Source organism: Homo sapiens, chromosome 13 (genome assembly GCF_000001405.40).
Source record: "Homo sapiens chromosome 13, GRCh38.p14 Primary Assembly".
In the NCBI taxonomy this organism is placed as follows: Eukaryota; Metazoa; Chordata; class Mammalia; order Primates; family Hominidae; genus Homo; species Homo sapiens.
Window position 1 is genome coordinate 70152762 of NC_000013.11, and position 26265 is coordinate 70179026.

A 26265-nucleotide genomic window follows, 5' to 3' on the forward strand; every position below is an offset into this window, starting at 1 on the left:
ACTGAGTAGTCAAAAAGATTAAGAAGTTGGTTTATTTATGTATTTTCATATTATTTACTCATTTATTTTTCCCAGCAGCATAGTAGTCCGTTTTATATGGAGTCAAAGGCAGAGATTACTAGATTACTAAGCACATGCAAACAAAGAAAAGGGAAAACCAACCAATAACCACATTTATAAAATAATATGAAGGAGCCTAATCAGAAGTCAAAAGAAGGAGAAATAGAGAGTTAGAGAATGAATAAGAAAAAACTGTGTGTGTGTGTGTGTGTGTGTGTGTGTGTGTGTGTGTGTAGACTGTTATAAGGCATACGAATGCATAACAGAGATGTAGACCGGGAGAGAAAGAAAAAAAGTACATTTTATGACAATATTTAAGTGAGTTCAGCACATCTCTGAGAGCAGAGACATTACTGGAAATTAGTAGCTAAAGAGTGAATGGAGTAGGCAAGCATATAATGTAATACAATTTTTTGGCATCCTTTTTGTCAAAAGGGAGATAAAACTTGACATCATATTGAAAACGATCCTGTCTGGGTGCAGTGGCTCACGCCTATAATCCTAGCACTTTGGGAGGCTGAGGCAGGCAGATCATAAGGTCAGGAGTTTGAGACCAGTCTGGCCAACATAGTGAAATCCCATCTCTACTAAAAATACAAAAAACTTAGCCGGGCATGGCAGTGTGCGCCTGTGATCCTAGTTATTCAGGAGGCTGAGGCAGGAGAATCGCATGAACCCGGGAGATGGAGGTTGCAGTGAGCCAACATCGCACCATTGCACTCCAGCCCGGGCAACAGTGAGAGACTGCAAAAAAATAAAAATAAATAAAAATAAACAATTCTTATTCAAAATTTTGGAATTAGCATAATGTGTTGTCAATATGTATGAACTACTCTTCTTTATTGTTGTTGGTTTTCTTTTTTGTTTGTTTTTCTTCACACAGGGTCTTGCTCTGTGACCTAGGCTGGAGTGCAGGGGCACAGTCACAGCTCACTGCAGCCTTGACTTCCCAGGCTCCCGCGATCCACCCACCTCAACCTCCCAAGCAGCTAGGACCACAGGCACCTGCCACTACACCTGTCCAATTTTTTTTCTTTCTATTTTTTGTAGAGACACGGTTTTGCCATGTTGCCCAAGCTGATCTCAAACTCCTAGACTCAAGCAATCTGCCCACCTCAGCCTCACAAAGTGTTGGGATTACAGGCATGAGCCACTGCACCTGGCCTGTACTTATTACTCTTCTAATTGTCCCCCTACATTCCTTCAATTTCATTCTCAAATGGTCTCTAGAGCCTCATCTATTTCTGTCATGTGACATCCTAGGCATTACATTTTAACCATATTGAACAAGTGAGACTTAGTTGAGGGCGAGCACACACAGTTTTATTTCTCCACATATTTTAAAAATAATGCTCTAAATTTTTGAGAGGCATGTGGGGTTGGGGAATTGAATAAAGTTTTGTTCCCAGTCCATGTCAATCACAAGTAGAATCTCTTTTCAGTAATTAAATAAACCTCCTTTGTTTGCTGTTAAAGCTTCGTTTTAAAATTCAGGTTAACATTTCTACCCAATTCCAACTCCATCTTACCTCAGGTCATAAAGCCTGCAGAGGGGCTGCTACTTCTTTCTTTCTTTCCTTCTCTGTCTACCTAATTCTGCATCTGCTATTTTTGGTTCATCAGGGTTGGAGGAGGTGGGATAAGTGATTGTGGAATAATAAAGTGCTGAATGGTTCTTATATGACTGAAGACATATCTTTTGGTGTTGGTACTGAGGCGGGAAATTAAAGAAAGATAAAATTTAAAAGAAAGTGAAATAAGTTGTCCTGTATTAGGCTGACTTGTCCCAAAGTCAGCAATAGGCACAGCCCAGACCCAGGAAATGTCTTGATAATATCATCTAATGTGCTCTAGAGACTCTCCCAGCAATCCCTCAACAAAGAGAGAAGAAAAACAAATTTTACTTTGTTTTATGAAATGAGTTTATAGATTCCTGTTCTCTGTAACTAGTGACTTCAAGTATTCTGTTTTATCTAAGAAGTACAACAAAGGTCATGAGACACCTGAGTAGGCCTGAACTACAGCTGCCTGGGCACCATAGCGAAGGTTATAGGATAAGCCGGTGCCCAGGCAAACCTAGATAATGGACATCTGGATTGCTTGGCAGTGGTCATGTGAAATCCTGTCTTTGTCTTGCCTCTGTATCCCTGCTTTCACCCCACTGTAAGCTTGCTTCAAGCTAGCCAACCCCCTTTTGTGAAGTGTGTATAAAAGTCAAGTACTGTCTTTGTTCCGGGCGCAGTCTTTTGGACATCAGTCAGCTGGGCCTGAGTGCATTCAATAAAGATTCTCCTGTTTCAACCCGAGGTCTCTCTCGTCCTCCTGAATCCTGCAACAGTACCTTCTCATGGTAATCGTGCAATTGATGGGTCTTGCTCTCTAATATCTGATCCAATCATAGTTTCCTTGATACAAACATGTTCCTTGTGGTGGAAGTTTCTGCTATCTTCTCAGCCCTCAAGCTTCAAGAAATCTGCTCCTCTTTTAAACCTGTAGCCATTTTTTAAGGCGAGATCTTTTTTAGGATAACCATAGATAGATTGCCCAATTCTCAATTTGGTCCATAAGAAACATACCCAATATATAGGACATAGAAACACACCATCCTTGTGCTGCTGGTTTACATTCCATTGCCATATTAAGAGTTCTCCTGGCCAGAATCAACTAGTATTCCAGTGTCTCTCGAACTTCAGGGAACACATAAAAGCCTGTTAAATGGTTATCATAAAGCTTCTCTCTATTTGCTTTAAGAAAAGGGAGAAACACCTTTCTCCATTCCCAAAAAGAAGATCAAGGCCAGAATTCTGAAATTATCTCTCCTAACAGAATGTTTCAATCTTCGATTTTCATGCAAACCAAAGATAGCAGAACCTATTTCATAGTCATAATATGCTTCTCATAGGTGGGTCACCTCTTCAGTTTAGGATCTGAGGATACTTTACAATATTCCATTTTTTTTTTTGCCAAAACTGAGACAAAAAAAAAATGAAAAGAAAAAAAGGATTCCATCTTAACTTTCTGTCATATATTGTACCACCAGAAAAAAAAGTATGTTTTATTTCTTGCTACTCCTCATTTTTCTGCTTCTTTCTCTTATATAAATGCTTACCCATGCTATTTTAAAGATTCTATTTGTGTTTTCCTATATGCCTTTTTGTTTTATGCTTGTTTATTCCTGTCAATGCAATGTATAGGTTATCAAATGAGACTGCCATATTTTAACTAACAATAAAAAAACTGGCTTTCCTAACTTTATGAACAGAAAGAAATTTTTTGATATTTGCTCATAAACAGCCTGGACTATGCAATAATACAAAAAAAATGATTTTTTTCAGCATCTATAACTGGCACTTCTTTCTTACTCTTTTGATTTTCTTTCAAGAGCAGACTTGAGTGAGCACAGGTGGGTATGGGTGGGTATGAGTGTGTGTGTGTGTGTGTGTGTGTGTTTATATTGGTTAAATTCACTTTCCAAGTATATTATTCTGTTCTGTGTTTCAAATTCTAGCAGATTTGAGAAGTGATTTGGAAATTAGATGTATAACTTTTCTGGAAATCTACCACTAAAATGTTTCATACACTATAATCATTTTACTTTTATTCCATATTGTATATGGTTAAACATTTCTGAAGATTAAAACTATAAGAAATAATATTATATTTTATGATAATTTCTACATATAAAGAAAATAAGCTCCTAATGTATTTATATATTTTCTGAGAAGATAAATTCCTAAGTATATAAAGTAAAATTAAGGTGTATTAATCATTCACAACACGTTACTCTTTTTTTTGAAAACTTGAGCCAGTGAAATAAATATTATTAGTATTCTGAAGAAGTGACAAATTCAAGCTTTGTTATAATGTTTTCTATGAGAAGCATGAGTTTTCATAAACTATCCTGATAAGTGAAGCATCATTGAAAAAGGACATACCACACTATCAAATTAGCTTCAAATTTTTATTTCCAAGGTCTTCAACTTTTTTTAATTTGATTTACCAATAAGCTCTCTCTGCTTTTACTTTCAGCTACCTCCTTAAGCCCAAAGAAACTTCCATCAGTAGTCATGGAAGACAGGAAATCAGCTGGCCAACAGCATGATATTGTGATGCCCTTTGTGTATTACATTTTTCTAGTTACCCGTAAATGAAAAAGTCTCAAAACACATTTTAAAATTAGGAAATAACATACCGTAGATATAAATATAATAATAGAGACAAAAGAATTGTCACTTTAATAAACCAATGAAAATGCTAATGCAATCTGATGAATTGTTCTACCTTCCTAAAAGTTTTCATACCGATTTTTTGATTAAAGGCTCGTAACAACATTATTTTAAAATTTAGAAACTGGATCAGATATATATTTTACTATATCATGAATGAGGATAAAAAACAAAGGAAAGCCTTTACATGAACTATATCTATTATTAAAATAGAATGTTGTGTCTCAAGAAACAGTTTTGACAAACTGATAGGAGGAGCTCTTTCTGTTTAAAAATAAAGAACATAATTTTTTTTCATATTCATTAAACCATAAAAGGAGAAAATCCTGAAAAAGTAAATACAAATCTAGAATGTGACTCTTTCAGCAAGGATACATTGTTTACAAGAATTAAACCACAAATTGCAACTAGATTATCCTAAGGAAAGAAGACAGCCAATTAACTGGACTCACATGACTAAGATATCCAGAGATTTGCTTGTTTCCTGCACTTCTTTTACCAGCAGTTAAAAAAAAAAACAAAAACACTCTTAGATCTCTCACTCTTTATTTTCTGACTTTCAGCATTTCTGAGTGTGGAGCTCATTCTCTCTTATTGAACGCAGCTTAACACATAGTTGGGGAATACTGGTACACGGAGAACCTTATATTGTGCTCAGAAGTCAAGATTCTAAACAGATTTAAAAAAGAAAAATTCCACCTGACAGCAGACAGTTCCCTGACTCCAACTGGCCTAACTTAATCTTTGATCTTCTGCATGGAATAGGGGAAGCATGGATCCTGAAAGAAAGCCTACAGGAAAGACAAAAAATACATATTTTCACTAAATTAATAAAATGGAGTATGGGTGCAAACTATCCATGATTTAAAATTTCCAATTAGTACATGCAGGAAATAAGCTTGCAAAAAATCATTTGAGCCATGAGAATCCCATTCAGTAAGCAAAATGTGCATTAATCACAGATGCATTCATTCAGTAAGAGAGTTAATCTGTATAATACCAGATTCTCTAAAGAGGAGATTGTGTGTAAAGCCGCTAGGAAAAGCCTTGAGATAGGCTTATTCCACACTTCTTTAAGATAGAAGAGCAGAGGCTGGCGTGGTGGCTCACACCTGTAATCCTAGCACTTTGGGAGGCCGAGGCAGGCAGATCACGAGGTCAGGAGTTTGAGACCAGCCTGGCCAATATGGTGAAACCCTGTCTCTACTAAAAATACAAAAATTAGCCAGGCGTGGTGGCCCTTGCCTGTAATCTCAGCTACTTGGGAGGCTGAGGCAGGAGAATCGCTTGAACCTGGGAGGCGGAGCTTGCAATGAGCCAAGATTACGCCACTGCACTCCAGCCTGGGCGACAGGCAAGACTCCATCTCAAACAAACAAGCAAACAACAGAAATAACAAGAGCAGAAATATGTAATAGGACAGTACAAAATATTAGAATCCTTCAGCTGCCTCCATCGGTCCCTTTCAACAATATGCCTAGATGGCAATGCTATCTTCTCTCAGTGCACTATGTGCTAAAACACAGGTCAGAAAACCTTTTCTGTAAAGGGTCAGATAGTAAATATTTTGGGTATTGCATTCCGTATAGTCTCTGTCTCAAACACTCAATACTACAGTTTAGCATGAAAGAAGCCATAGACAGTATATAAACAAATGAGCACGGTTGTGCTCTGATATAACATTATTTATGGGCACTGGATTTTGAATATCATATACTTTTCATATATCATGCAATATCTCTTGATTTTTGCCCTGACCGTTTAAAAACATTAAAACCAGCCTTTACTATGGACTGTAAAATAGGCAGAGGGCCAGATTTAGTTCATGGGCCATAGTTTGTCAACCTCTGTGTTATAGGACTGCTCTTAAGAGCCGAAGCCTTTAATTTATGAAAGGGAGAAATTAGTTCAAATATAAATTCAAATATTTTACTTTGTAATTATTATGAATTTACATGTATTTTATCATGTATATCATATATATTTATGCTTTATCCTGGATAATGATTCATTTCATTTTCTCAAGATTAAAATCTCCTCATTACTAGATAATACTATAGTTCAACGTATTTTAGATCTCCTTACTAATTACTAATTAATTTATTTTCTCTCCTTCCCTCCACCACTTCCATTCTCTCTCTCTCTCTCTCTCACTTTTTATTACACATATAGAAGAATTAAATTATATTCATATATTAGAGGTAATATTCAGTAGTTATTCTAGATTTTCTATGTACAAAATCATGCTTTTTGTAGATGCTTTTTTATTATTGCTAGTGAGCAATAATAAAAGTTTTATATATTTATTTCCAATTCCTATACTGTTGAGGACCTTTAGTATACTGCTTTACAGAAGTAGTACTACTAGACACTCTTGTCTCATTAGCAGGGGATGTTTTTATGAATTGTCTATTGAATATGATATTCTTTTTGGTTTTCTTTATCGAATTGAATTTTTTTATTCCTAGTTTATCATGAACTTTATGATTATTATGGATTCCCACGTGCATACCATACAATTTACTTTATTGGTGTATGGTTCCAGGGACATTAGCATATGTATACATTTGTATAACCACCACCACAATCAGAATACAGAGCAATTCTATAATTCCAAGATATTCCATGGCGCTGTCTTTGTTGTAGCCAAAACTTTGCCTGATCTCAATTCTTGGCAACAACTAACCTGTTCTTCTTTCCTGTAGTTTTACCTTTTCCAGAATATCACATGGAATCATACAGTATATAACCTAACACTGGCTTCTTTCATCCAGAATAATGCATTTGAAATTCATTCACAACATTGCATGTATAGTTAATTTATTCATTTTTAGTAGTAATAAATTGAATGTGTATGTACAGTGTGTTTGTCCATTCATCGATTGATGTGCATTTGGGTTGTTTCTAATTTTAGTCAATTATAAATAGACCTGCTATAAATTCACATGTACAGATTATTGCATGAACATAAGATGTTATTTATCTAGGGTGGATACCTATTAGTGGGATTGCTGGGTCTTATGGTTAATTGCATATTTAACTTAAAATAGAATATGCCAGAATGGCTGTACCATTTTTCATTCCCACCAGAAATGAATGAAGGTATCATTTTTGTTGACTTTTTGTGAGCACTCAGTCTGTTGACTTATTGGATTTTCATATATTGTATTTGTATATTATATATTTTTCAAATTATAATAGGTATGTATTTGCAGCTCATTGTTACCCTAATGTTTCATGACATTGAGCATTATTTTATAAATTTTGGTTTATCATTATAATGTGTAGAATCTAATATACGAGTGGCTTATATCAACAGAAATGTATTTCTCACAGCTCCAGAAGCTAAGCAGTCCAAGATCAAAGTGCCCACAGATGCAGTGTCTGGTGACAGCACTTTTCCTGGCTGAAGTTAGTTCGGCATGAAGTTAGCATATTTCTTTCAACGGTAATTAATTTGGATAAAGTTTCTTAGTGTTTTAAATATTGTTACAGCCTTAATAAATTGTCATATTTTCAATATGGAAATGCAGTTTTACACAGTTATGCATGTTTATAGTCTTAATTGGTAAGTATCATAATAATAAAATCAGAGAAGTTTATACAAAACAAAATATTCTTGGTAGAGATGCCCCAGACAGCTGATTTAACTGAATTCTAGAAAGCTGAATTATATATATATTTATATAATTTTTATATATAATTTTATATTTATATAATATGTAAATATATAAATATTTATTTATAAATATATTTATTATAAATATATATAAATATATATTTATATATATAAATATATTTATATTTTATGTCTCTTTATTCAAAATATACCTATTTAAGTGAATTCAATATAAAATAATTATAACACATAGTGAAATAATCTTAACTTTCAGGTGGACCGACACAATTTAAAGCAGTTTAGATGTGTTTAAGATGTTATTATGACATATCGAGACAAATCTACAGTTGAGATTTCTAAATATAACTGTTATTAGAAAATGTCTGAATTTACTTGCTATGAACTTTAATTATCTTAAAATCGGATTCTTCTAAAGTAAGCCAGTAAACTAAATACTGCAAGATTTAAATTTTTTTAATGATTGAATTGAAAAAAAAAATCTAAGGTTAAACTGAAAAATTACCCACTGTCATACAGAGTGTTCCCATATAGCATCATTTAAAGTAGTATAGTTAGAAAACAAATATACTAAAGAGTAAACCACCAAGTATTCTACTATTTTGCCTCATTTACTGTGTTTCCAGGAAGCATTCTGATTTTTGTAATTCATCAGATTAACATAAATTTTTTTCACCTTAGCTACAAAGGCAGAAAGGGAAGCATCTATTTTTGTTAGTAGATGTCAGGACTTGCTTTTTTGTTTTTCTCTTTGGAATGCTCTTCTCCTAGGCAATCTATATGATCCACAGTTCCTCACTTAGCTCTACACCTTCTTTCTGTACTTAAGCATCATTTTTTCAGAACAACTTTTTCTGACTACTTTCTAAAATACCCAACCCACTAATTTGTTCCTTAACCCTGCTTTATTTTCCTCCAAAGTAGATATCATTGCCTAACACACTAAATAATTATTTGATTATTTTCTGTATTCTTGCATGAGAACTTAAGCTCCATGAAACCAGAGGCGGTCTCTGTTTCATTTTCTGCCTTTTGAATACCCAACATCTTGTAGTTATGGTATAAGTATTTGTTGAGTGAAAAAAAATGAAAAAAAATCATAGGATGTACAATGCAAACAATGAATCCTAATGTAGGTTATAGAATTTAATTAATAATAGTGTTTCAATATTGACATCAATTTTTACAAATGTACCATGCAGATGAGAGCTTTTAATAATAAGGAGAACTAGGGGGATGGAAGACAAGGTAATACAGAAATTCTATACATTCAACTTACTTTTTCTGTAAAACTAAAATTTCTCTAAAAACATCTATAAATTAAAAGATGGAAGAGGTAGAGTAAGAGAAGGAGAAGAAAAAAGAGGAAAAGAAGAAAGGGAGATGGTAAGAGAATAAAGGAGAAAAAGGAAGAGATGGAGGGTGCACATTGAGTTAAAATTGTGTTTATTTATGAGTATAACCTCTAATAAGTACATACGCTAGCCTGACATTTGAAGACGTTGCATTTCTTAGGGTCTTACAGGAATCAGCTGGCACAATGAGACTGAAACTAAAGACAGTTAAAAATAAACAGACAACGTATAGGAAACCTGAGACGCAGAATTCAGCACCTCAGGGCCAGTAACAGTAGGGCTCTGTCATCACTCCTAGGACTGAAGAACCTTTAGAGGAAGCTGAACAAACCCCCTAGAGGGATACAGGCAGCCTGAACCAATCCCACAGGGAGAAATCCAAGTGAGTGAATAAGCACACTTGCTCTTTTTCTTCAATATTCTTCTGAGGCTCTTCTGTTTGTGCAACCCAAGCAGAAGCCAGAGAAGCAGGGACGTTGTTGCAGGCTAGTTTCCTGATGAAAAATGGGAGGAAGAGAGAGAGTAGATCTGCTGGGGCTGATCGATTCGTTCATACTCACAGAACTGTCTTTGCAGATCCTGTACCCTAAATTTGATTTGATATAAGAAACTGTGGAAGGCTTAGGCAAAATATTAGGCCTCACAATCTCAAGTGAGATTTTCTTTTAGTCTCTTCTGATGTTTTGTCTCTATAATTAGATTTTAAAAAATCTTTTTCTACCACTTAAGTCTTATTTTGATTAACTGAATTTAAGTTATTGTTTCTCTTCCATGAATCTTTGAATCAGTAGCCTGCAAATTACACTAATTTTTTAGATCTGGCAAACTAATTTTCTTTTCTGTTTAGTTTTTCATGAACTAAAGGCAACTTTACCCAAACCTCTATCTTGTAGGTCTGAGCCCAATACTTTGAATCATAGCAAGTTGATGTTGGCCACAGGCCTTCAAGACTCAGTGACACCACTGTCTTCACAACTTTCTGCTATTCTCTCCCTTTTTTTTCCCATTTTAAAATTAATTTTCTTCTTACAACTTTGGTTATAAATTACTAGTGCTATCAATAATTATAATAACAATAATAGTAATTATGACAAATCCTGATAGTAATTACAATGTAACTGTTATGTTTCTAAATAATGTTAAGAGTTAGCTCATTTAATAATCCAACTGGCCCTATGCAGCAATTACCATTATCATCTATTTACAGATGAGAAAATTGAGACAGAACATTTATGTACCTTGTTGATCTCACTGCTGGTGTGGAAGAGAAAAGATTCTAACCACATTGGCTGGCATCTAAGTCCAGGATCTTAATTATTACACAAAATCATCTCCCTTGAATAGCATTTTCTTTCATTTTCCCATATGTCCACCCCATGAGACTGTCACCATGTCATACTTAGTAGGTATTGTAACTTTATTAACATCAAGGTTTCCCTGCTGGTCTTTTCCTTCCTCTACCCTTGATAGACTTACATCACATTCTAACAAATTACAAAATATTAAAATTATTTGATAGTAATTTCAAAGGGACTTACAAAATGAAGATGTAAAATGCTTGCTATTATTCTTTAAAATAAATCAAAGCAAATGGAGTTGCTTAAAAAGTCATTAAAACCTAGAACTTTCACTCAAATATCTCAATTTGTAGAGATTTGAGGCTATTTTTTACAATATGTATCAGTATATACTTTTTTTGAACTTATTAGGTTAAAATTTATATAAATTTCAAAAATATTTGGCTTTCTAAATGAAATATCTTTGAATAGTTTAACTTTTGACTTTTTATCTCTTGCAGTCCACCACTCTTCTTGTTTTAGAACTTTAACACTCAAGGGAAATCATGGTTTTTTTTTTAATGTTTTGCCTGATAGAATAAATATATGACAGATTTTTTTCCCCACTTAGTGGTATTTTACGTACGTCACTAAAAATGTGCTCAATGAGGATGTGTAGGGTGCTTGAATCAGTTTTTATTTTTTTTCTCCTAGAATTGTAAGCTGGAAGTTTTTATTCTTATTATTATTATTATTATTATTATTATTATTATTATTATCCTGTTTCCAAAACCTGGGAACAGGATAATATTAATAATAATAACCAAAGCACTATTCTGTCACTTATTTCCCAATTACCATTATCATTTTTTCCCATTCTAACTCTAGTTGAAAATTTAGGTTTCCCAAGGTTACCTTTTTTTTGAAAGATATTAAAAATGATATTAAAATGTAATTTCAAATAAAGTAATCCTCTCTTTCACTCTTTTTATCCCTCTCCCCTCTTTACATCTTCCTTCTCCTCCTCTTTCTCTTTACAAGGCAGGCAAAGCACAGAGTTCTACCAAGCAGATAAGACACCGTGAGGATGAAAATAAAAATTTTGTATTTGCAACAAATGTGTATTCTGCAAGTGAAATTGAACCTGTCTTCTGAAAGTTAAAAAATTAGGATATTTCATCTTTGTACAAAAATATACAAATATAAGGCAGGATAGAAGGAGAATATAGAGGAAAGACACATGCAGCTACCTATCTTTGTCATCTGAGCATAAGTGAAGGATAAAATGTTACAAATACAAATAATTTATCACAAATATGCTTTGGAATGTTTTCAGTGTGTCAGGATTGATATTAACCTGCACAAGAATGCCTAAAAGCAAGATTGGGAATGAAAAATTGGCAAGACATTATAATGAAACACCAGTTTCCTTTGTTCAAGTTGCCTGGAGCCCTTTATCCATCTTCTGGCCTTACCTCCTCACTGTATTTCTAGAAAATGATTGCTCCATGATGAGCTTCCTATATTCAACTATGTGCAATAACTGAAAATAAAAGAATTGTGGAAAATTTCTAAAAATGTTGCACAGAAAATAGGAAAAAGGAAAATAATAACAAGAATAAGAAATCACAGAAATATTACCAAATCAGAAAAGTGACACTCTAAAGGACTCTAAAAGGTAAACATTCTGATAAAAAGTATTTCCCATGAAATCTAAGAATATAGTTACAATATGGCCTCTGGATTTACAGGCTTCAAAAAAGATCTACAGTGGCTTAAGAAAGAAATTACACAAAACTAGTAAGATCAATTTTGAGCTTTCAAGCCTTAGAAAATAAATTCAAGGAAAAACAAAAGTTATCAGGAAAACGAAAGCATATTGTTAATTTAAGAGGAAGAGTGGAAATAAGAGCATAGAAGAGTAACAAAAAAAGAAAGAGAACTCCATTAATAAGAACTTAAATATAGTTATAGATATGTTAGACTAGGAGAAGAAATAGTGATGAAAATGAAAGAGACAAGAGCATATAATTCACATGAAAGAGATAAAGGTTATTCCTGCATAGTTGTATAATCAGTATTTTTGAAGAAGAGAAAAGAATAAATAAAAATAAATCTAGAAAAACATTTTTAAAAAACTTATTGAATACTATAATTTCAATAAAAACTTGAATGTAAATATTAAAAGCAGGCAACTGGACTTCCGGCAAACATGACTCAAATATATTTATGCCAAGATCAATTTTTAAAATTTGTTAGGATTCATCAGTGAATAATTATCTGCGTATCCAAATCAGAAATCATACATATGAGGAAAAAAACTAAAAATAGAAATATCAGGCTAGATTAAGGTCTATCCATAGCAGCAATCACTGATAGAGCTCAGGGAAGCAAATTCTAAGAATTTAAGAAAATTTACATAAATTTTTTTCTAACCAAAACTTCATTCAACTTGGAAGATAACGGAAGATATGTGGAAATATTTAAATATAAATAGATTGTAGTCTCCAGAGTCCTTGAGAAAAATTACAAGTAAAATATTTAAACAACAAAATAATAATACAATGAATAATGGTGTCTGCAGTAACAGCACAGAAAGTAAAATAATAATAGCACATCAATTAGTTTAGAGCAAAATGAGAAATTAGAATACTTCCTTAACACATTTTCCTTTGATTGTTGATATATTTCATTCTCTATTTCAACTTTATGTCTTTGCATAAATAGAAAATGAGTGAGATAGAGAAAAATCTCTCATCATAATTAATGATGAAGCACATGAATATCTCATTAAGGATCAGGATAAGATGCTGACTATTGTCAACCAATTCCTTTCAACTAAATTTAAAATAGTAGTTCATATGGAACCAAAAAAGAGCCCTCATTGCCAAGTCAATCCTAGGCCAAAAGAACAAACCAGGAGGCATCACGCTACCTGACTTCAAGCTATACTACAAGGCTACAGTAACCAAAACAGCATGGTACTGGTACCAAAACAGAGATATAGACCAATGGAACAGAACAGAACCCTCAGAAATAATCCGCATATCTACAACCATCTGATCTTTGACAAACCTGACAAAAACAAGAAATGGGGAAAGGATTCCCTATTTAATAAATGGTGCTGGGAAAACTGGCTAGCCATATGTAGAAAGCTGAAACTGGATCCCTTCCTTACACCTTATAAAAAAATTAATTCAAGATGGATTAAAGACTTAAATGTTAGACCTAAAACCATAAAAACCCTAGAAGAAAACGTAGGCAATACCATTCAGGACATAGGCATGGGCAAGGACTTCATTCATGTCTAAAACACCAAAAGCAATGGCAACAAAAGCCAAAATTGACAAATGGGATCTAATTAAACTGAAGAGCTTCTGCACAACAAAAGAAACTACCATCAGAGTGAAAAGGCAACCTACACAATGGGAGAAAATTTTTCCAACCTACTCATCTGACAAAGGGCTAATATCCAGAATCTACAATGAACTCAAACAAATTTACAAGAATAAAACAACCCCATCAAAAAGTGGGCAAAGGATATAAACAGACACTTCTCAAAAGAAGACATTTATGCAGCCAAAAAACACATGAAAAAATGCTCATCATCACTGGCCATCAGAGAAATGCAAATCAAAACCACAATGAGATACCATCTCACACCAGTTAGAATGGCAATCATTAAAAAGTCAGGAAACAACAGGTGCTGGAGAGGTTGTGGAGAAATAGGAACACTTTTACACTGTTGGTGGGACTGTAAACTAGTTCAACCATTGTGGAAGTCAGTGTGGCAATTCCTCAGGGATCTAGAACTGGAAATACCATTTGACCCAGCCATCCCATTACTGGGTATATACCCAAAGGATTATAAATCATGCTGCTATAAAGACACATGCACATGTATGTTTATTGTGTCACTATTCACAATAGCAAAGACTTGGAACCAAATGTCTAACAATGATACACTGGATTAAGAAATGTGGCACATATACATCATGGAATACTATGCAGCCATAAAAAATGATGAGTTCATGTCCTTTGTAGGGACATGGATGAAACTGGAAACCATCATTCTCAGCAAACCATGGCAAGGAAAAAAAACCAAACACCACATGTTCTCACTCATAGGTGGGAATTGAACAATGAGAACACATGGACACAGGAAGGGGAACATCACACTCTGGGGACTGTTGTGGTGTGGGGGGAGGGAGGAAGGATAGCATTAGGAGATATACCTAATGCTAAATGAAGAGTTAATGGGTGCAGCACACCAACAATGCACATGCATACGTATGTAACTAACCTGCACGTTGTGCACATGTACCCTAAAACTTAAAGTATAATAATAACTTAAAAAAAAAGAAAATTCAGAAAGAGCGAAAATACTATCACAACATATGTAACTTCTTTTTTTTTTTTTTTTTTTTTTTTTTGAGACAGACAGAGTCTCGCTCTGTTGCCCAGGCTGGAGTGCAGTGGCGCGATCTCGGCTCACTGCAAGCTCCGCCTCCTGGGTTCACGCCATTCTCCCACCTCAGCCTCCCGTGTAGCTTGGACTACAGGCGTGTGCCGCCACTCCTGACTAATTTTTTTGTATTTTTAATAGAGACGGGGTTTCACCGTGTGATCTCAATCTCCTGACATCGTGATCCACCCACGTCAGTCTCCCACAGTGCTGGGCTTACAGGCGTGAGCCACCGCGCCCGGCCAACATATGTGACTTCTAATGTGCCCACTTGGCTTATAAGCATTGGGCATTACAGAGAATTACCTTCCATATACTTTTTTTGTTCTTTGCTGGGAGGCACTTCTTTGCATGATTGAACTGATTAGGATTTCCCAAGGCTTGAGAACAAGAAAAAGGAAAGCAGTCAGCAGTTACCTTCTTTAAAAATAAATGGACACATAATGAAATTGACTCTTAATGTTTCTACATTTTTATGGGGTACATGTCTAATTTTATTACATGCACAGAATATGTAATGATCAAGTCAGGGGATTCAGGTTATCTATCACCTGGAGCATTTATCACTTATATAATGTGTTGGGAGCATTTCAAATCCTCTCTTCTAGCTATTTTGAAATATACAATATGTTGTTGCTGACTATAGTTATCCTACTCTGCTATCAAACATTAGAAGTTATTCCTTCTATCTTTCTGTATGTTTGTACCATGAACCAACTTCTCTTTATCCCCTGCCACTGCCCCGCCCCACGCATATGCACCCTTCCCATCCTCTAGTGACTATCATTCTACTCTCTATCTCTGTGACATCATTTTTTTTTTTTTTTTAGCTCCCAATAGGAGAGAGAACATGTGACATTTGTCTTTCTGTTTCTGGCTTATTTCGCTTAACATAACAACCTTTAGTTCTATTCATGTTGCTACAAATGACAAACTTTTATTCCTTTTCATGTCCCAGTAATATCCCATTGTATATATATTTTCTTTCACCATTCATCCAGGCAAGGAGTTGGCACCATAGTGTTAAGGTCTTCCTTCAGAAAACCCATGTTTTGTGAATGTGCAGTAGTCCATGCATCATTTTATTTGTTAGTATGGATTTATTTTGTCTGCACTGTTCTTTTGTATGTTTTTGCATTATAGTTTCAATTACATTGACTATCACATGGTTGTTTTGTTTGTTAACTATAGAAGAAATTGTAAACCAGTAATGTCACTGATGCTTATTTTTCTAATGATGAGAACAGACCTAGTTTTGTTTTTCCATGAATAGATTGCTATTTTAAGTCAGGGATAGACTAGATAATGCAGATGGATTATCATATACATAAGATAATAAAATGGAATTTAAATTCAGTAAATGGCTTGTTACATAATTAATAGACAAAATCAACAGTTTTTGTACATTAAAAATGTTTTAGAAAGTGTAAGGTAATAAATAGCTGCATTATTTGTAGCAACGAAAGAATAGCATCCTAGAAATAAACCTCAGAAGAAATAGAAGAAAACGTTTAATCTTTTTGTTTGTTTTTTGAGACTGAGTCTTGCCATGTCACCCAGGCTGGAGTGCAATGGCACGATCTTGGCTCACTGCAACCTCCACCTGCTGGGTTCAAACAATTCTCCTGCCTCAGCCTCCCTAATAGCTTGGATTACAGGCTCCTGCCACCGCCCCCAGTAATTTTTGTATTTTTTGTAGAGACGGGGTTTCACCATGTTAGCCAGGCTGGTCTCAAACTGCTGACCTCGTGATCCACCCGCTCGGCCTCCCAAAGTGTTGTGATTACAGGGGTGAGCCACGGCGCCCAGCCAGAAAACATTTAATCTTTGAAAGAGTATTGTCATAAGTAAACTGATGATCTGTTTAAAGCTCTCTTTGAGGGGCAACACATCCATCCCTCTCCTAATAAAGATATCATCTGTTGAATGCATACTCCTGTGGCTCTCACTAAAACTTTCCTTCTGTGATAGGACAATGTCTTCCCAAGGTTACAACACCTTCCAGAGATCTGCCTACAGTCACTGGCTGGCTAATGTGAGAAGATTAAGTCCTGGTCCTTGCCTCTATTTGGGACAAATATGAAGAACCATCCCAGCTCCACACCACCTCCTGGAATCAATTGCATCCTTACTTGCAAATGCATTGCGAGCCAGCTTCTTCTGCCCAAACCTGACTTTCTTTCATGCCTTTACTGCTACTCTCTGAGGTGTACTTGGGATTGGCATTTCCTTGTTCTCTTGGCTAAAACTGTGGTTGTGAACAGCGAGAGAAAGCATCGACTACACTCACAAAGTAATTTTTACAGGTGTCCTGCCTTAGTTCCATTAGAGTTTACTGGAACATTCCTGTATTCAGAGCTATCACATGCTTGCCTAGATTAACAGAATATTTTGTTTTTCCTCTTTGGCCATTTATCCTTCAGTAAGAAGACCCAAATTATGGGATCTAGGATCTCAGATGCCATTCTGAATTCGTAACATATGAATGAGTTTATATAGAGAAATGTAACCTAAGTGTCTTCAAAACCTTAATGGTTTAAGGTCTTTATTCCTTTAATATCCAATAAAATAACTTCAACATATGTCTGAGAAGATCTGGGAAGTGTTTATATGCAATACATTTTCTAAGGCAGAATTAAGAATTTCGCCACTGGAGCACAGATGAGTAGGCAACGCAGTCTGCTTTGGGAGCAGGGAATCACAAAAGGAAACACATAAATTAGATCCTGAAGGAATGTCAAAGAATAATCAAAGTTTTACATTGGCTTTTATACTTGGAAACTTTAGACAACCTAACCATCTCAAGGGAAAACAGCAAACTAAGCTTTTGTTTTAAATTCCAGAAAGCTGCAGGTTTTTATGATATGCGAATAAATAATAAGTGTGAAAACAATTTTTAAAATTCAACTTTTAAATTTATTTACATATAAAATGAATACAATACAGTCACGCATCATTTAACGACAACGATATGTTCTGAGAAATGCATTATTAGGTGATTGTGTCAGTGTGGGAACATCACAGAATCTACTTACAAGTAATAGCCTACTACACACCTATGCTTTGTGGTGTAGCCTATTACTTCCAGGCCACAAACCGGTATAACATGTTACTGTGCTTAATACTGCAGGACATTTAACACAATGGTGACTGTATGTGTATCTAAACGTATGTAAACATAGAGGAAGTACAGTAAAAATATGATATAAAAGATAAAAAATGGTACACCTGTATAGGGCACTGTTAAAAGAAGAGCCTTATACAAATTAAATTTAACAGAGTTTAATTGAGCAAAGAACTAGTCAGCCTCTGGACCAGAATAGGTGTAGAGTATGGTTGATTTATGGACAGAAAAAGGAAAGTGACATAGAGAAAATCGAAGTGAGGTACAGAAACTGCTGATTAGGTTATAACTTTGCATTTGCCTTCTTCCAACACAGTTTGAAGAGTTGGCTGGTGGAAGCCAGATGGGCACAAGAGTAGATTACAGTCTATTTACACATCCAGTTAGGTTACAGTTCATTATGTACAGAGAAACCTTTGGGCGTAACTTTAAGGAAGAAACTTTAGGCTAAACTTAATTTAATAGCACTTAGCATGAATAGAGCTAGCAGGACTGGAAATTGCTCTGGGTGAGTCACTGAGTGAATGAGTGGTGAATGGATGTGATGGCCTAGGATAATTGTGTACATTTTAATAAGACTCGTGGTGCAGTACATTTGTTTATGTCAGCATCACCACAAACACACCAGAATGCATTGTGCTACAACATTACCATGACTATGTCACTAATTTTTCAGCTTCATCATAATCTTAGGGAACTACCCTGGTATATGCAGTTTGTAGTTGACTGAAACATTGTGATGTGAACGATGACTGTATATAAATAATATTATTTATTAACTTTCATTGACTTTTTCTTATGTGTAAAACAGACATAATATGCAAATGTTCTACATCTTAGCAGTGATGCATAGATGAAAATAAGAAATAGAAAAAACGAATGTAACAGCATTTCAAAAAAATACCATCTTATGGAAATTCAAAGTATTATTATGGTAATTATTCCTTTAAATATTTATTATATTATTAACATTCCACTAAGAAAATATTTGTAACATGCTGTAAATATTGAGAGATCTATGACTTAAAAATAAAAATTAAAAGGCAGCAAGTTCCTCGAGGATAAATACTGTCTTATTTGTCTTTGTGTTCTCCATATATTATACCGTGAGTACACTGTAGTTAGCCCTTAGTAAATATTGGTTACAATACGACCAAATCAGATTTATATGAAATATATAAGTGATATAAATAATAAAACATAAAGTATAATATATAGTATAAGATAGCATATCTTATATTCATTACATAATTAGTTTAAATATTTTTATCAATATAAGCAATTACAAAATATTTTATGTAAATAGATTTTCCAAGCTAATATGACTATATGTAATACGTATGTGTATATATATGCATTTATGTATATATGTATTTTATGCATATATGCATGCATTTATACATATGTTTTTATTTTCAGTGCTACATCTCAGGTGGATGCTTTTGAAGAGTATTTTAGACCTTCAACACACTGTACTCTGTTTGACCACAGAGAGGATTGTGATTTATGACACATTTTAAGTGTATTTTAATGAGAAACTGAATGATTGAAAGAAACAGATCAGCCTGCAGCTTTTATTCTCCTTAATGAAAATACAGAAACTTAAAAATACCAGGCTTTTTAATCAACATTAAAACATACATATTGAATTTACATTGTATAATTAGGCATTAAATAAAATTTGCCTGTCTTGTGAAGTCAGAGGCTTAAAAGGCATAGGTTTCTGCATGATAGAAACTTTAGAAATAAGTTTAACACTTTCTACTCACTGACATTTTGAAAAAAAATTCTGATATTCTATTCACTGAAATTATTAAATAAGTCTCTCAAGGTGATATTTTAAAAAATAAATGGCACCTACTTAGTCAAAAAAAATACAGTGAGGGCCCACTGCATGGCTGGCCACTGTGTTAGACATTGTGGGCAGGTCAATTGCAGATAAGTGCAGTTATAGAACATGCACTCATGCAGCTTTTATGATAGGGCAAGAGTGTACTCATCTAAGTCATAAAATTCATCTGGTTAGGTATTTGTCCACATATAGAGGAACATGGTGATGGAAATAATTTAATTCATAATTGATTTAGTCTAAAGCAGTCTGTGAAACATTTAGGCCAATTGTATCTCTTTGAAAGAGGGAAAACAAAATAGGTAACATTACTGAATGCTTACCAATGAAAATATTCCAAAGAATTTGCCTTTGCCTCTCTGAGTGACAAATAATTAACCAGGAATATGCATCAGTCATACTTGTTATTAATACCTGTAGATTGACAGCACTCTGGATACTGCTGACATCACAGAATGAAACCTGTGTTTAGGGGACCTAATCATGTTTGAAATTTAAATTTAACTGTCACTTGATATGCACATCAGGCCATCAAATTAGTGATAGAGGCCTCTAAGAGTTTTTTGTGTTGGATATTCAGCTTTTGTCTCAGTTCCAAATCCCTGCTTTCAGCCTCCACTTCATTGTACCAGGACTGAGATTTTGCAAACCACATTTCTCCTTTGGTAGATCATTCCCTGTTGGATTTTGGCCAAACATATATATCACCAGAGAGAGCCTGGAAGTGAAGAGGAGAGGGAAAGAACTCATTCCTTTTGTGTTTATTAACTGTTCTGACAGCATCATCGTAATGAAAATTATTTACCCCACCAGAAGCAGCTGGCCTATTCTCCAATGTATTTTCTGCTATCTTGGAACCAGCTTCATTGGTGCCATCAGAGACAACAGCAAGGCACTGCCCCCTTCTCCAATGTTAGAACTCCAGATCAGTAGTCCTGCTTTGATTCCTAACACACATGCCCTAGGTAGGTAATGCCTTATTATCAGAAGTCTGAGCCCCCTTCTGGAGGCCCTTTTCTAAGCTTCTCGGTTCTTACATACACCAACCTCTGCTCTTTCATCACAAAACCCTAGAGGCAGTAGCTGCTTCCCATAAATGTCATTTCTATTAGGCCTCTGTTTTACCCTCTGCCTTTCTGTCCTTCAATTACTGCTTAATTTCTTATATTAATTTTTCAGTTAAAATATTTGGCATAGTTTCTAATTTCCTGTCTGTATCTCATCTGCTATGGGTTACCTGTGTATTAGTTAGTAGAATCCAGCAGGCTGTGTTGAAATGAGGGTTAGGATACAGTAGGGCACTTCATTGTGCAGCTGAGGGAATGACTGAGGACTTTTTTTCAAAATTGTAGTAGAGGAAATCTTAATAGATTTCTTTCTGCCTAGAAATCAGTCATTTCCTATATTGCTCAGCAGTGAAAGCAGTTGTACAGGTAATTTTTAGAGCATGAATTGGCTATGAGATTCATATCTAAGATTTTAAATTACCAATTTATCTGAGCAGTACTGAATTGGAAAACAATAATTGCCAGAACTAGAAAAATTTGGCTGATGACATTTCTGCATTTTAATGTGTGAACTGTGGAAATTGAGAAGTCTCTATATCCTTAATACAAGAAGACAATATTGGTCAAACCACATGAGAAAAAAACCAATCAACCATTGAAACAAACCACATGACAAAAGTAGATGCTCTGAAACAGAATCAAACAAGTTTGGGGTAAGAGATTGTTCAATGATTTTAAAAGAGACCTTTAAATAGTTGTCTATGTTAGTTTCACTCATTTATTGCTAGATTTGATTTACAAAGAATTCACTTCTACTTATGGCAGCCACTGTGTAAGGCACTAGATTTACAAAAGTAAACAATCCACAATTCTTTACTTCGAAAAACTAGTCTAAAAAAGATACAGTCTCTGAGCGCGGTGGCTCACGCCTGTAATCCCAGCACTATGGGAGGCCGAGGCGGGCGGATCACGAGGTCAGGAAATCGAGACCATCCTGGCTAACACAGTGAAACCCCGTCTCTACAAAAAATATTAAAAAATTAGCCGGGGGTGGTGGCTGGCGCCTGTAGTCCCAGCTACTTGGGAGGCTGAGGCAGGAGAATGGCATGAACCCGGGATGCGGAGCTTGCAGTGAGCCAAGATCGCGCCACTGCACTCCAGCCTGGGCGACAGAGCGAGACTCAGTCTCAAAACAAACAAACAAACAAACAAAAAGATAAAGTTGCATCCTAAGATTATTGCTCAGTATAAGTGAAGTATTTAAACTATATATATAATGTTCACACATATTGCGGATAAGTTGGTGATTAATTGTGTCTGCTTGGAGAAAAGGTGCTGGTCTTAGAGGAGGTGAAACTCCCAACAGAGTAAATGGAGTCAGTTTAATTAAGTCCCTTTGTTTTGAACCTTAGAACTTCAATGAATTGAAAAAAATAAGTTTGTCAGGTAGACACAGAAAAAAGAGCATACTGGGAAGAGAAAGTTTTAAACATGCTAGGTGTAAAAACTACAAATTATTTTGACATTACTGTAGGATGTGGTGTCCTACAGAGTTAGGAGAAGTGAATCTAGTTTGGAAGTAGATAACCTAAAAAGTTTAAAATTATTATAAAGATGAGAAATCATTGAAGGATGAAAGTACAGGAAGGATGAAAGTATAGGAGTATAGGATGAAATAATCACATATAGGTAACACATATAAGGATGTACAATAACAATAATGGCCTATGGAAAAAAAGATGGGAGACAGAAAAAGAAGTTATATAATTAGTTCAAGAGTCCCTGTGAAAGATGAAGAAAATTGACATTAGGAAGGTATTATCATAGATGGTGAGATGAGGGCAGTTTAGAGAGGTCTTTATGTTCACCCATGAAAATAACTGTGAAAATGAAATCAGAGAAAGACAAGTGTCTTGGAGGCATGACAGTTTTCTGACTTAGATTAATGAGTGTCATCAGCTGAAGTACAGATTTAGTAGAAGATTTTATTTTGGAGAAATGGTATGAGAAAGAAAATTTTAGTATTCAATATGCAGGAACACTGTAAGCACTCGTGAACTATAATTTATGTAGGGGTATGAAGACTTGCAGCTTGGAAAACAGACTAGGGATATACATTTACTTGGATACTAAACTAGGCAACTAAATGGAGATTACTAGGAACACATATAAAGCTAGGCAAGAAGAGGATTGAGGAGACAATTCTAGGGAATCCCATTATTTATTAACTACCCAGAGCACTCATCCAGGCTATGCATCTAGTTATCTTTTAAATACATTTATACAAATCTTAGTTGAAAAAAAAACCTTGATTGAGTAAATTTTGATGTACCTCTGTAAAAAATATTTACATAACATTGAAAAATTTATGTAAAAATAATGTCATAATGTTATGTGTACTCTAAAAGACTGAAAATATAAGTAAAAACAGGTTCCCAAACTACATAAATAGCATTTTGATTAAAATACATAAATATCTATAGAAGAAATGACACCAAGATCAAACAGTACATTGTGATCTTTACACGGTAGGATTTGTGTTGTTTCTTCATTGTATATTTAGCAATTTATGAAAGTATCTTTATTCAGTATATATACATAAAATTTAAAATAATGTTTAATCTCAAAAATGTAAGTGATATGGTTTGGCTGTGTCCTCACTTGAATCTCATCTTGAATTGTAGTTTACATAACTCCCGCATGTTTTGCGAGGGGCCCGGTGGGAGATAATTGAATCATGGGGGCTGTTTCCCTCACACTGTTCTCATGGTAGTGAATAAGTCTCATGAGAGCTGATGGTTTTATAAGGGGTTTCCCCTTTCACTTGGCTCTCATTCTCTTTTCACCTGCTGCCATGTAAGACATACCTTTGCTTCTCCTTTGCCTACAGCTGTGATTGTGAGACCTCCCAAGCCATGTGGAACTCTGAGTCCTTTAAACCTCTTTCCTTTATAAATGATCCAGTCTTTGGAATGTCTTCATTGCAGTGTGAAAACAGACTAATACAGTAAGTATTTTTAAAACTTTACCTCAAATATTGCTGTTTAGATTTCCTAAAACCGTAACTCAAATAGCACTGGCAGCCAAGCCTTTGATGTCTGTAGAAGGTAGATAATATAAGAACATAACCATTTTTATGACCTTCACTTGTATCACTCAAGTCTAAGCCAACAGTATATCTGTCCTGGTCTTTTGCCACCACTGTCTAACTAGTCTCTTTTTCTGTACTGTTAATGTTTAGAATTTTATTTTCTACACAGTAAAGCGTTATTTTAAAATTATAATTCAGGTTATGTTACTCCTTAGTATAAAATCTTAAGTCCTTATCTTGCTTTTAAAATAATTCTTTTTAGGCCGGGCGTGGTGGCTCACACCTCTAATCCCAGCACTTTGGGAGGCAGAGGTGGGCCGGTCACCTGAGGTTGGGAGTTTGAGACCAGCCTGACCAACATGGAGAAACCCCGTCTCTACTAAAAATACAAAAAATTAGTTGTGTGGTGGCTCATGCCTGTAATCCCAGCTACTCGGGAGGCTGAGGCAGGAGAATTGCTTGAACCTGGGAGGCAGAGGTTGTGGTGAGCAGAGATCATGCCATTGCACTCCAGCCTGGGCAATAAGAACGAAACTCTGTTTCAAAATAAATAAATAAATAAATAAAATAAAAAATAAAATAATAATTATTATTTCTATAATTTGGCCATCAATCTCCTCTCTGAAATTGACCCACACAACTGTCTCCCACTTTGAGTCTCTTCCATGGACATTAGTTACCTTCCTGGTCTGTGAATATTCTAAGCCCACTTTTATCCAGGTCCTTTGCTCTTAAAGCTGTTTTCTTTTTTTTTTTTTTTTTCCTTGAAATGTTCTTCTCCTATATATCTGCTAGTACTTGCAGCAGATCCCTCAATTTATTTAAATTTCAGTATGGTACCACCTCCTCACAGATTACTTCCCTGACAGTCTCATGTTAAATGTTAGTTCCTTCCATTCTGTATCTATCATGTTTGCTTTACCTTTATTACCTTTACCAGCTGGGATATTATGTATAAATAAATGTATATGTGTTTGCATTTGTTGCTTCTCTCCCTAACAGAATGTGAACTATGAGAGACAGACCTTTTCTGTCTGGTTCACTGTTGAATTATCAATCCTAGTAAAACAGGCTCTCTAATAAATATTTGCTGATCAAGTAAACGTGCCTATAGAAATACCTAAAGAAGACATAGTCCTTCTTGTTTATATAAGTACTTGATATTTTAAAAAATGCTAAGAAATTCAAAATAGAAATTGCTATAAATGCCAAATTAAAAAGGATAGTTACCTACATACAAGTTGTCTGTGAATCTGCAAAGGAACTACCCTCAGGCATTTGTTTCCCACATCCCTGAAGACTTAGATTCACAAAGTCTATGTTGGGTAGATTTGTTTTGTTATGCTATTTTGTTGTGTGTGTGTGCTTTTAATGTTCCACAGGTGAAATAGTGGTGGTTCATCTTAGACACTCTTCATGGGATAATACTTTCTAGCATAAAATAACACCTTTTTTCATCTTTTTTTAATTTATTTTTTATTTTTTTACTTTAGTAATTAATTCTAGCATTTTGGGAAGACAATTAATGTGCAAATATATGCAATTAACTTTGAATTATAAGTACCATTATAGATATGGGACTTCATAAAGTATTTATAACCATGAACTCTAGTATCATGTTGGAGAAATGTTTCTGAAGATTTAACATCATGTGCGTTGATTTTCATTTCATATTCATGGAAATTCATGACACAGCATAATGATAGCATCTAACAATGAATTTTAATGAATAATTAGAAATATGAATTCACAAACATTCATTAAAAATTCATGACTATGTAGAGTGTTATGAAAAGCTGCAACTGTCCAGGATTAACAGCACATTTTTTTTTTTTTCATATTTTGATTATCTGACCACTTCTAAAGTTATCTTATTCACATAACACAAAAAATTTGTTAAGATTATGTGCAAGTTGCTTAAGATAAATTTCAAAACCACCACATTAAATCCAAAGTATATTTTATGTGACAAAATATCAACATATACAAAATCTACTTCATAAGTAAAGTATTTGAGTAGGATAGGGAAATATAAACACATACTTCTGTTAGTTATTTCATGTGAAAGAAAAATTCATAACACTGGACTATAATCTATGGTAAACAGGGTTCAGATATGGGACAACTTAACCTCTGAAATGGTTTATCTTGCTTTTGTTTCTCATGAATGGAGA

The 26265-nt window shown here is 34.7% G+C and overlaps 1 non-coding gene across 4 annotated transcripts in view; it reads left to right on the forward strand.

Moving 5' to 3' along the window:
* ATXN8OS (ATXN8 opposite strand lncRNA) overlaps positions 1–18977 on the forward strand; it is a 64318-nt gene extending 45341 nt beyond the window's left edge. Inside the window, exons 6-8 of one of the 4 annotated variants that reach the window (NR_185837.1) lie at positions 6459–6487; positions 7623–7734; positions 11601–12480. This is a non-coding gene — a non-coding RNA (ATXN8 opposite strand lncRNA). Of the gene's footprint in view, positions 1–6458; positions 6488–7622; positions 7735–9576; positions 9661–11596; positions 12481–16991 lie in introns of those variants that run through there. The other 3 variants (NR_185835.1, NR_185836.1, NR_185834.1) reach the window with 3 other exon arrangements.
* The last annotated feature ends 7288 nt before the right edge of the window (positions 18978–26265 follow it).